Source organism: Homo sapiens, chromosome 5 (assembly GCF_000001405.40).
Source record: "Homo sapiens chromosome 5, GRCh38.p14 Primary Assembly".
In the NCBI taxonomy this organism is placed as follows: domain Eukaryota; kingdom Metazoa; phylum Chordata; class Mammalia; order Primates; family Hominidae; genus Homo; species Homo sapiens.
Window position 1 is genome coordinate 88,138,399 of NC_000005.10, and position 12,792 is coordinate 88,151,190.

A 12,792-nucleotide genomic window follows, 5' to 3' on the forward strand; every position below is an offset into this window, starting at 1 on the left:
CTGAAATACTGTGAACATGTGTGTTTTTCTATATAGTTGGCTGGGTAGGTTCTTACCTAGCTCTACACAGTATTTAACACCAGATTATAGATTAGCCTCTCAGGGGAAATAATGGTACACACTTATTATATGTAATATAATAGCCATTCACAGAAGATCCCCATTATACATGACAGCAATGAACCCAGTCCCTGGAATTAAGAAACTGTACATCAGGGCTGGGTGTGGTGGCTCACACCTGTAATCCCAGCACTTTGGGAGGCTGAGGCGGGCAGATCACAAGGTCAGGAGATCGAGACCATCCTGGCTAACATGGTGAAACCCCGTCTCTACTAAAAATACAAAAAATTAGCCGGGCTTAGTGGCAGGCACCTGTAGTCCCAGCTACTCAGGAGGCTGAGGCAGGAGAATGGCGTGAACCCAGGAGGCAGAATTTGCAGTGAGCCAAGATCGCACCAGTGCACTCCAGCCTGGGCGACAGAGCGAGACTCCATCTCAAAAAAATAAAATAAAAAAATTAAAAAAAAACTGTACATCAGAAACAACTCAAATGGCCTTCAACAACTTTTAAAAGGATAAACCATCTGTGGTACGTTCATGCAATGAAATACTACTCAGCAATCAAAAAGAGCAAACTGTTGATACACCCAACAACACAGATGAAGATCAAATCCATTATGCTAGTAAAAAGAAGCCACACAGAAGAAAGCTACATACTGTATGATTCTATTTATATGACATTCTGTAAAAGGCAAAACTACAGGAATGGAAAACAGATCAGTGGTTTCCAGGGTTACAGGATATTGGGAGGGATTGACTGCAAAGGGCAGCACAAAGAAGTTTTGGGGGATGATGAAATTCTGTTTCTTGCTTGTGGTCGTGATTACATTACACACTGGTAAAACTCAAAGAATTTATATCCCTGAAAAAGTGAATTGTACTGTATTTAACCTAAATATCAAAAGTTCAAAAGCTTCACATAGTTTATATTTCTCATTCTCATGTATTCAAGAAGAAGAATTGTCTTTCAAATATTCCTACTAAACTCCTGCTTATCACTTTCAAGAACTTAGCTTCAAAGTTAGCTCTTCTGTAAAGCCTTCCCATACCTCTCTATGTTCTGGCTTCTTTCTAAGATTTTTTTAAGGAAATAAACATTACTCATATAGCCAATATCCATGTGGATAAAGGCTCCTTCTCTTCCAGGGGTCTCCCCCATGCTGGAGTTCGCACGCATTCTTCCCCAACATGCTTTTATACTTTTATTACATAGTTACGTACCAACAAATTGTTATGGGAAGGATAATTTTACGTTAATAGATATTAATATTGCATCAATATCACATTTTTTTTGAGACGGAGTCTTGCTCTGTTGCCCCGGCTAGAATGCAGCGATCTCGGCTAACTGCAACCTCCGCCTCCAGGGTTCAAGCAATTCTCCTGCCTCAGCCTCCCGAGTAACTGGGATTATAGGCGCCTGCCACCGCCCCTGGCTAACTTTTGTACTTTTAGTAGAGACGGGTTTCACCATCTTGGCCAGGCTGGTCTCGAATTCCTGACCTCGTAATCCACCCTCCTCGGCCTCCCAAAGTGCTGGGATTACAGGCGTGAGTCACCGCGCCCGGCCAATATCACATGTATTCTTTTGCAATTTGCTTTTTTTCATCCAACATTGCTTTTAAGATAGTCAATTCATAAAGAGTATTTCACTGTAGGGATATGCCAATACATTAATTCACTGCACTTTTGACAGATATTTAAGCTGTTTCCATGCTCCATGTTACACTGTGCCATATTTATCTGTTATTATATCTCTTCTTCTTGCAAGACAATGAGCAATTCCAGAACAGAAAGCATCCAGAATTCCTATCCCTTTCCCTAATTTCCGGTACACCTGCAAATCACTGCCTGCGTAATGTGTTTCGCATGGAAAAAGATGCTGTGTACCTGGCACACAATAAGCACCACTCCATAAAAATGTGTTGAAAGAATAAAAGCTGACAAAATGTTATTTTAAATCTTGCGGTCTCTACTCACTTCTCTGCGGTGTAAGATTTAAGGGGGAACTGACTCAATTCTCACTAAAAAGTCCCTTAGTATTCCAATGTGGACGTAGAGAGATCTATGAAACAAGGTCACTTCACAATTCTCTTGCTTTCGCGTTAGAGGATCTCAAAGCACTACACAAACCGCGATTTTCTCCAGTGATTTTTCCTCTCAATGTGCCTCAAGGTCAGTTCAGAGCAGTATTCAAAGCTTGAATACTCTTCACCAGCAGCTGTAAAGGGCCGGAAAACCAGAGTCTGGATGTAAATAACAGTAACAAACTATTCCCGGATCTTGTTTTTTCTTTTCTTTTCATGGGTCCCCGTTTGCGCTCTTAGTCGGCTTACCCGTCCTGTTCCAGGAGCCGACAGGGAACAGCCCACCTGGAGCAGGTCTTGGGCCACCACTCGCCCCGCCCCCCGTCTCTACTCCTCACTCGCTCTCCCCGCTCCTATTAAGCAGCCAACGCTGGGTGATCTCCTCTCCAGTTCTTCGTGGTTTCATTGTAGCCTTGATATACAAGACAAATGCACACTTTACTCTGGGCTTAAAAAACCATCTATCATCATCCTTTGGGCATGACAAATACATTGTGTGTTTCAGAGAAATTAATCTGGTATTTAGGGGGAGAAAGGCATTTCCAACCAGTCTCCGTGCAGAACCTTCCCGCAAACCCTGTAGCGGCATTTTTCGACACTTTTCTCCTCCTTTCGGCAAGCCTCAAACTTGACCTTCGAGAGGATTTTAAGGGTAGAGCCTTCCTCCCTTTCCCTCGTCTGCTCCAAGAGCTCACGTAGGCCTTCTTCTGGGAAACAGCGGCTCAGGACCAGAGCTCGGAGAACTGCGCGTCCAGGAGCGCGGGCGCGGCCGGGGAAAAGGGAGGAGGCGGCAGGAGGGGGCAGGAGGTGGAGGGAGGAGGAGGATCGGTCTGAATATGCATGAGGCACCCAGCACTGCCCTCTTCCCCGGCAGCTGCTCGGGCGGGGGCGAAGGAGGGAAGGGGAGGGGAGGGGAGGAAATGAGGCTGGGGCGGGGTGGCCAGAGCAGCCGCAGAGGCTGACGCGGGTTTGGAGAACGGAAGAGATGATTTGCATGGCGCCTGGTGATTGGCTGATGGCCGGGGGCTGGGTCTGAGAGGCGGCCCCTGAATGGTTTAACGGAGGAAATTACAAGATTCATTCGACTAAAGAAAGCCGGGGCGGGCCTGGTCGGCGCAATATGCAGCCTGTCCGCAAGGGGGCGCGATGGCCTATCTTTGTTCTGGTTAAAGGCTCCTTTTCCCTCCTCCCCCGCCCCCGCCTCCGCCCCCGCCCCCGCCCCCACCCCCCACACACAGACACACACGCAGAAAGTGCAGAGAAACCCTGTGATCCAGTCAACTGGCTCTGCCCCATCTATTAAGAAAGATGAACACTCCTTTCTCTTCCATCTCCTTCATGGGAGACCACTTTTCATTTCAGATTATCACATCAATAAATATTCTTCGAGGAATAAAAAAGGCACTTTGCCAAAAGATAAGAGAATATATATGCAATGTCTGGATTGTGGAGAAAGACAATACATGAAGGCAAGAGAATAGGCACATATATGTAAATATGCACATAATCACCTCCGAGAACGCAAAGCACGGGAGGTAGAGACAAACAGAACACCTGGAGAGAACACATATCGCTCACAAGGTTCTCACAGGCTGTGCACGCTCTTCCACACACCGAGGCACACACCCACTGACCGGCACGCAGTCTCCCCCTCCACACACACACACACACACACACACACACACACACACACACAGAGACGGACCTCAGAAAAGGCATCCAAATGAATTCACACTCAGTGGAAAGACTGCCGAGAAAATACTAGAGAAGAATTAAAATGGTTCATCCCCTCCCCCTCCAAAAAAAATACTCAAGCGAAATGACTCTATTTGCATAATACTAATATACGCAGGACGCAGACACGGGCAAGAAAAAAAAAAGGCTCCATTTGATGCACACCAGAGAATGGGTGTATACACACACACACACAAACACGCACACACGCACGCGCGCCTGCGGGCGGGACACACCCACAGCCTATGTCCTCCGCCCACGGGCACGGGCAGAGCACCGATGCCATCAACAGCGCTCAGTACAGTTGTCCAGAAAACACCAATGCGAGAAAAACGAAAGAAACCCACCCTATTCAGCCAAGGAAGCACCACTGGGGAACCTAGGTTTTCTAAACACACACGCATACACAACAGGCACACACACACAACCTTGTTAGACAAGAGAGTTGAGTTCAAAGATATAATAGATGCACAATGGATAACTGAGTGCTGGAGAATGTCATCCGCTTAAACAATACTTTGAAATTGTTTCAGCCTGAAGACAGCTTTCTGGGTTGCTCCCTGAAAAATCATACCTAAGAAAAATAAAATCTCATTGATCCTGCTTTCCTTTTACTTTCTTTTTTCTTCTTTTCTTTTTATTTTTCAATGACCGAATAGAGGGAGAATTCCCTTTCCTCCAAAGGAGGGTAGCCCTGTTTTTGTTTTTTGAGTCCATGAACTTACTGTTCATTTCCTAGTGAAGAAGGTGCCAGGGAGCGGTCCTCGGCAGCCTCCCAGCCAGACAGCGCCACAAAAAGGCATTATTACACATCCCAAATAACAAGGGTTGTCTATATATTTACAAATCTGTTCAAACATTTAACCTTTTAACTTGCTAAATATCCCCCTCTTCTCTTTCTTTCTTGCGCTCTCGGCTCTCCCCCCTTTCTGCTTTCTCCTCCTTTTCCTTTCTCTTTCTAAAAGAGCTAGGGATGGGAAGCGCCTTTTCTTGAGTCTAAAATGAGTACAGGGACTCTGGGCTGTACCTGACCCTTTTTGAATGCCAATTTCGTTTTCAGGCAATTGCCTCTTTGCCAGCCAAAAGATCGGGATTGGATCACCAGGGCTACCTTTTTAAAGTAGAAGCTTCTATGTTGCCTTTCAGTTTTTAAACTGCCGCGGAAAAGCATCCACTAAATCGGAGGGATTTTCCAGACCTTTTAAAAGTTTCCAGTACCCCCAATCCGTGATGTTTCCTTCCGCGTTGCACCTCCTGCCCGTCAAGTGACTAGTAGAGGGTATCTTCTAAAGACAGCCAGAAAGTTTCGACAGTGTTTGGCGACCCAGCCAAGGCCGGGGTGACGCACACTCCTACTGCAGGGGCCAATTTGGAATTCCATCTTTTAGCATTTCTTACTGCCCAATCTTTTCTTATGAGACTAATAACCTCATTCTCAGGGCCAATGTAAAATGTGAAACTATAGAGCATGTGGGCCTTTAATGCAGCAGAAGAGTTAGATTCCTCAAAAATTGGGGCATTCTTACTTTGCTGCACGAAGAGAAAAGGAAACTTGTGCCTGGGCATGGTGGAAAGGCGCAGGCGGCGGGCTACCGATCCGGGCGGTGCCAACGCCCTACTCTGCAGCCAGGTGCCCTGGGTGGGCTTCCATTCAAAGAACCCACAAACACCCTTATCCCAGGATCTTCACTCTTCGCCCAGGACTCTACTGTGAAGAAATTTAAAGTGGCCTGGAGGGGCTTCCCCCTGCCATTCTGAGTTTCCTTTTCTAAAATAAAAGAATTGCAAGAAAAATCCATTGCCTTTGAAGTTGAAACAGAAAGGGTGACTTCTTGTTGGCATATTTTCTCTGGCCTAGAACAATGACTTTATTTATGTATTTGTTTGTTTGTTTGTTTCTGGGTAGTGGAAAAAATGAAACTGCAGTTTAGCGAGACATCATGCGTGTCTCGGATTTGTTCAGGTGTCCATAATATTTCAGCCTCTACCAGCTTTAGATGAGTGTTAGCCTCTGAGGTGCCCCACCCCGGATCGGCCCGAAAGCACCCGAGAAAACCCAGCCCTCACCTTGGAAGCTTGCCTTCAGCAAACTCCAGTTGGGTTTACACCTCTCGGTGGTACAATAGCCCGGAGCCCATGGGTATCCGCTAGTCGCTGACTCTGAAATGCGCCGGTCTGCGAGGTAATAATGACCGTTGCTTGCGGCTGTCAGGGCTGGCACGCCGCACCAAGGGCACTCAGGGCCGGCCAAGCCTTGAACAAGGGGAAGGGGGATATGGATAACGTATACGTTTTAAAGAGGTTTACTGAAAACTTTTACAGATCCCACATAAGAGATGGAAGGAAGGCTAAGTGAGTTTAAAAAAAAAAAAGTGTGTTTACTCTTTGTACCATGACAGATCCGGGAGGAAAAACGGTGGCACTAGATTATTATGCGGTGCTTTCTGTAAAATGCCATCAATTTCCATGCTCGTGTGATGGTCAGGACATTTCCCCCTATTGCACAAACCCCTTATGAAAACTGCAGGCAGTTTAAGAGTTTTCCTGTTCTTCCTGATCAGAAAAGATATTCATCCAGAGACATTATCTAAATCTGCAAAAGAATGAAGGCTGCTTGTCATTCGTCCTTCGTCTCCAGTAATGTGTGCCATCCAATTAGAAGCAATTTGAGCAATCAAGGCCGTTATGGGAGAAGCGGGTGTTAAAAATAGGTTTTCTATAGCCTGAGAACTCTAATTCGGAAGAAAATCTAAAATTACATATGTATCATTTCTTTATATAAAATAAATATATAATCTGAGTGTCTCCTGTTAGCTCTTATTTTTTCCTCCATGGTCCCTCCCCTATTGCCTGCCTTCCTTTTGGGAATTCATAACAAAAGTCAAGAGTAAAGCTCAGATGAAAAGGGAGTAGGGACCCTAAAAAAGTCTTTCTGAGACCTAACGAGAGGCTCTGGAAGGGGCTTGGCCCAATCTTTCCGGGGCTCCCGGCTGCCGTAGCGTCCCTGATAGTGGTTGTTATCTGACTTTCATCCGCGGTGGGCGGAAAAGTCCCAAAAGTAGTGTCCCGAGATGGAGGGACCCTCATGCCTGGAGTCGAGTAGTATGACCCCGGGACCCCGGGGGTCAGGGATAGTGGGCTGAGAAGCTGGCCTGTGGGTCACTGGAGGCAAGTCAGAACAGCTGCTGACACGCGCGTTCATCTTGGGGGGTTAAGGGATGCAGAAAAAGAGCTAAGAGGATGTGTTGGGAGTAAGTGGGTAAGTAAAACATGTTTCCAAGCAGAACACGAGAGTACAAAATTTTAAAAAGCAAAGCGAAACAAAGCATAGACTCCGTGCAATGTCCTCTAGCAGCAGCAATGTGCTCAGGGTGTCACATCTTACTCATGTCCCGCATTCCCAAGGGGTGAGCGCAGAGTAGATCCAGGTAGGGACCTGGTGCCCAAGTGCACCAGTGGCGGACTCTGGCGCCTCTTATTTACATTAAACCTGTCCCTCAGCATTCCGTTTTAAGAGGCGTCTTTACTCTCTCCAGCTCTCAGAAGAGAGTTGAAGAGAGCGGGTCGGGAAACCAACAAGAGCAAAGTTGGCAGAACTTCTAGAAGTGCAGAGCCAGCGCTTGCTCTTCTTGCAGGCCCCAGAGTTGGAACCCACTCCTGATCATTTGATGCCTTTGGCCAGCTGGGTCAAAGTTATCTGGAAATGAATGGTGTTCAAAGTTAAACACCTAAAACCTGAACCCTGAAAGCCCTGGCGGGCAGGAGGGGCGGAGAGGAGTCGTTCACTATACTAAGCCGAGCTCTGGGCCCAGAGCAACAAGAGTCGCTGAGGCAGGCAGGAAGTACCCCCCTGCACACCACGAGCGGACACCAGCCGTCTCTAGCAAGCTGACAACCTCCGGAGTGGGAATTAATCACCTGGCAATAACTCCCTTTCAAAACCCAGTGTTCTGGACGGAGTTTAAGTCAAAACAATTTTCCCTTCCCAGAGTTTCTAAGGGTCCAGGATGAGTGTGGAAGTGGGAACGAATCTTGTCGCAGATGTGCCACTGTTGTTCCAAAACAATAGCGGTTCCAGAGGAGGCAGCAATGCCTCAACAGGACAAACTGAGGATCCGCATTTGCGTTTCTCAGAGAGTGAGTCACAGACCGACTGTCAGGCAAATGCTGGGGCCCCATCACCTCCAGGTGATCCTTTACAGAAGTTTCTGGTACATGGCTACAATAATATTGCAATATTAAAATCCTTTCTAATAGCACCTAATTTATTTCCTATTTATTCTGCTTGCTTGTATGTGGTTTATGAACTGAAACCACCTGATTGTTAACAAATGTATCGATTTAACAATTCAAAAAGTATTTCCATTTTCAAATACTTTTCCCTTGAAAGTAATGTTAACATTTCTTGAACTTAAAGCTTCATGAAAATTGCTTTCAAAATTTTTTGTAAATGTAAATATACTGTATTTTTACACAGTTGAGTTAGAAATAGCTGGTATTTTAAAAATATAGACATATTAATGGGCATTTCTTAATTTAATTCCTCCTTTTACTTCATAATGTCCCAATATGTTGAAGCAGAAATCAGAATAGATAGTATTGACAAGAAATGTATCCTTTAAAAGTCAAATTTGTCCTTTAAATTGGCTTTTCTCATAAAGCAGCTCTAAAGTTTAGTATATGTGTATAAATTTATGCATACAACATAATATAGTCTTTTCTCTGCTATTAACTAGCCAGGGAAATTCAAGTCTTTTATTCTTAGTATGTCACAGCTTTTTTAATTTGAGATATCTAACTAAATAATCTCCAATTCAGAAATTGTAGAGTTTTTGAAATATTTTACTTTAATGTATTCTGCAGTTATATAAAAATAACAAGGCAATAATAATATCAAAATTAAAATTTCCCCGGAATATTTTACATAATTAGAACCAATAATACTCTGTGTTTTCACTGTCTACAAAGACTTCCTAACCTGATCCATCACTCCTAATAGTCTAAGAGTCCATTAATATACAGTAAGGATGAAAAAGAATTGTGTATCTTTATGCATATATCTTTACTTTTATGTAAAGGAGGTCATCTCTTTCACTGGATACCCAGTGAAATTCATGATTCAAAAAAGAACCATTGATCTACACTTGAAGCCTTCATAAGTGAGAACACAACCACCACCACAGCAATCATTGCATTTACATTTTGGATATAAGTAATAATTTTTCTAGACATCCTGGAATGTAAAATGTTGGAAAGATCAGTAAGCTAAAAATGAAGAGATTTTTAACTCTGGGTCTTCCTCTAAATGTCTAGTGACTTTAAATGAGATGCCGTATTCTGCTGGGGCCTAATTTATCCATACAATTAAGAAATTGAATCAGATGAGCTCCCCAAGTCCATCTAGTCTTACAAGTCCATAAAGTTCTGGACACTGTGCAGAGTAACTGGATCTGTCATTATTCAGTGTTTTTCAAAGCAAACATCACAATTTAGGCATAAGACTATGCCAGAAGCTTTACTTCTTTGTGATCTTATTTGCACCTTACTGTAGCTCTTCCTTTGCATGGATGAAATGATTAGTTCTTAAAGTAATTTAAAGGTATCAAACGAGATGTAAAGTTCTTCACTGGTACTGCTTGTCGTTGTAGGAAATGATGTTCTCAGAAATGTTGTTATCTATAAGAATTTCATGCCCCTAAAACAAGCTTAAATTTTCCTTCAGCTATTGAAGTTGGTAAATTAATACCTTTGATAATTTTATAACTTTCTATGGAAGACAGCTGGTTCATTTCAGTGGTTATAAGAATCAAGAACTACAAAAATATATACTCTCTGATAGTATTGTTGAAGCTTTTTCTCCGGTAACAAAGAATCTTTGCTCAATTCTTCACCCCTTGACCCCGATCTCACCTCTATTCCCAATATGCAGTCCTCACCTAGACCCATTCTTCCAGGCTGATGCTGAGTTTATTTACTCTAAGCAACATTTTCAGGAATCAACATCAGCAGATTACTACAATGAACATTTTTTTTTAGTTCAGCCTCAAGTCTATGAAATTAATTTCCATTTTGATAATCACAAGACTTTCCTTGGAAATATCAGTGACTGCACAAGCCATAGGCAGATCAAGTGTAGATGCTCCATCATCTGAATAGGGTTGGGTTATGTTTTCAATTGGAACAAGGTATTAAGTGATTAAACTGTGCCAGAGGACACAGCACTTTTATCAAGCCCTTTTCTATCCAAGCAGGCACAAGGATAGTCAATCCCTGGCCCTGAAAGTCTACAAGGAAAACTTGGAATGCTTTAGGAAATCGTGTTTATAATTAAAGCACTGGCATTTTTCTTCTCATTACAGAATAAAGGCTGAATACAATTTTTGAAACTTTACCTTTTTTTAATTTCAATTAAGCTGCTTAAGATCCTCTTGCATTCATTGACAGGATTTTTGGCCCATTCTGCTATTCTAGTCCACAACCGTTTAAGTGTTAAATGTTAGCAGATTACAAGTGACTAACAGTGGAATATTCGGAATTCTATATGCCATTATTTTAATTCCTACCACAGCTAGCATTCACACAAGATAGAAGTTCAAAAACCAGTTTGGGCACTATATTTTGCCCATCTTCTTGTAGATATAGTTAGAACACTGATGTGTCATCACCTTATTCCTCTCAGCATACCTGGCATGTGTCTGAGAGAATGAGTGAATTAAATGAATGAATAAATATGCAAGGTACCCAATGTCTATTTGACTATTTAGACCTGCGGAAGAAGTGGCAGCTTTTTAGTGATTACTAGCGTGGGTTCTATATTATAAATGTTCTTAAATAAAAATACAAAATGAACACAATAAGACACTAAGTATATGTCATAAATCTGAAATAAAATTGCTAAGCACTCCATTATCATAAAATTCTTTTTAGAAGTCTTCCAAGAGAGGGAAATTGGGGCAAGTAAAATCAAACTTACTAGGAAGGCCAGAAGGTTACATTGTCATGCACTGTTCTTAGTGCTTTGTGTGGATTATCTCATTCAATCCCCCCAGAAAAACCATCTGAGGCATGGACAATAATGACCATTTTACAGGTAAGGACAGCGGGGCTTAGAGAGGTTAACCCACTGCTTAGCATCATATGATATTGATGACTGGCATTCTAGAGTCAAGGTTTAAATGGAGGCAGTCTGGTTGCAGAAACAAAACTCCTAGCGATTAGGTGGTACTTCACACAGAAAAGTGTTAAATTAATGCTCATATAACTTGTGGAAAGAAGTATAGGAACACAAAATTAAAGAAAATTTCAGAAAATTAGCAGGTGCTTCCGAGAATCCAAAGACTATGCTTATATCACTAGTGGAAACAGAAAGAAAAGAAAAGGCAGCGTGACATGGATTATAGCGTCAGCTGAGCTGGGTTCACTGTCTTAACTCCCCATTTATCCACTATGAGACCTGGGACAAGTTACCTAACCTCTCTGAGTTAATTTTTCTGAGTCACTTCTTTAACCATACATTGGCAGTAAAAATACTAACCCCTTGGAATTTTAATGATTAAATATAATGGATGCAAAGTAACATGTATAATAAGCACATGATAAATATAAGTTATTATTGTGTGGGATGTAGATTACAGGACTGAATTCTATCCTAATTGTTGTCTGAGGCAGCGTTGGCTTTATTTTGAAAATTGAAATGCCAGTATTCAGTTAGGTTATACTTCCCCTAGTTGCTTCCACAACATCCTACTTCTGTTTTTCCCATCCTTATATTTTCAGAGAATTTTCTGTTACAGTTAATATGAAACAAAACAGTTATGTTCCTTTGTATTTCAGAGGTGAACTTGCACACAATGTCCCTGTCCTCATGGAAAGTACTTTCTTGAAGGTATAAAGAATGTCACATCTGGAGGAGGCCTGGAAAAAGAGGAAGACTACTATACTTGTATGAGAGAGCTTGAAATGAGAGTGAACAGAATTTTTAATCTGGTCATTAATTTTTCAGTAAGAGGAGTTCTCTCTGTCCATAAGGATTTATATTTACTTAATATTTTTAATTTTTATCAAAGTAAAGCATATACATGATTTTTAAAATAGTACAGAATGATTTACAATGAAAAGCTACAGTCTTTTGCCCCAATTTTCTCCACCTCCATTACAGCTCCTCATTTTAAAAATCAGCTTTAATGTTTTTAACTGTCTCTGATTTTTCTTCTGCTGCTGATTACCACCATATTGGTAAATAATATATTTACACATCTAGTTTTTGGTTTATCAATTTTGGACATGATCACAAACTTCTGCCATAAAAAAACGCAGACATAGTTTACCCTTACCACTTTCCACACCATTTCCCAATATAGTTACATCACTATTTTTCTTTCCTATATTGTTTGTCTTTTTAATTTTAATTAATACATTTTCACATGTATTTCTTGATTCATTAACCACAAGTAATATCTCTTGATTTCATACTTTGGCTCTCCTCCTGTCACCACCTAAATAATATTCTTTGCATTCTGTGTTTATCTTATTACAATTGATGACCTTATATTCTGCTATTTAATTCATAAAATTAAGATTTTTGTACTTTTTATAAGTTCAACATAAAATTGAAAATCAAGAAAGGTTTTAAATAGTCATGATGAAACAAATATTATTTATTGCACAACCATAATTGTAATTCCTCTTGTGCAGCCTTTTGTTTTTCCTAGAGTTTCCTATTGCCTTTCTTTTTAGTGTGAATGGTCTATTATTGTTGGCTTCATAGGTTTCTCATATTCTCAAGAATGGTATCAAATCCTTGGAATCTATTATTTATTTAAATGCCTCTCTCCATGAGCCAACTTCTTTTCTACTCCAGTCTTGACAAATATTTATCCAAACTGCACAAAATACAGACTGAGACATCCCTTCA

General features: G+C 41.7%; 3 annotated features.

Annotated features, from left to right (window-relative positions):
- Positions 2,677 to 3,178: an enhancer, noted in NCBI's record as "OCT4 hESC enhancer chr5:87436892-87437393 (GRCh37/hg19 assembly coordinates)". NCBI's record gives its function as "activates a minimal SCP1, AML or CMV promoter by ChIP-STARR-seq in primed H9 embryonic stem cells {active_cell/tissue: H9 hESC(primed)}" and the evidence as "EXISTENCE:reporter gene assay evidence [ECO:0000049][PMID:30033119]".
- Positions 3,041 to 3,090: a silencer, noted in NCBI's record as "silent region_16161". NCBI's record gives its function as "represses an Ori minimal core promoter by ATAC-STARR-seq in GM12878 lymphoblastoid cells {active_cell/tissue: GM12878}" and the evidence as "EXISTENCE:reporter gene assay evidence [ECO:0000049][PMID:35858748]".
- Positions 7,348 to 8,128: an enhancer, noted in NCBI's record as "H3K4me1 hESC enhancer chr5:87441563-87442343 (GRCh37/hg19 assembly coordinates)". NCBI's record gives its function as "activates a minimal SCP1, AML or CMV promoter by ChIP-STARR-seq in naive H9 embryonic stem cells {active_cell/tissue: H9 hESC(naive)}" and the evidence as "EXISTENCE:reporter gene assay evidence [ECO:0000049][PMID:30033119]".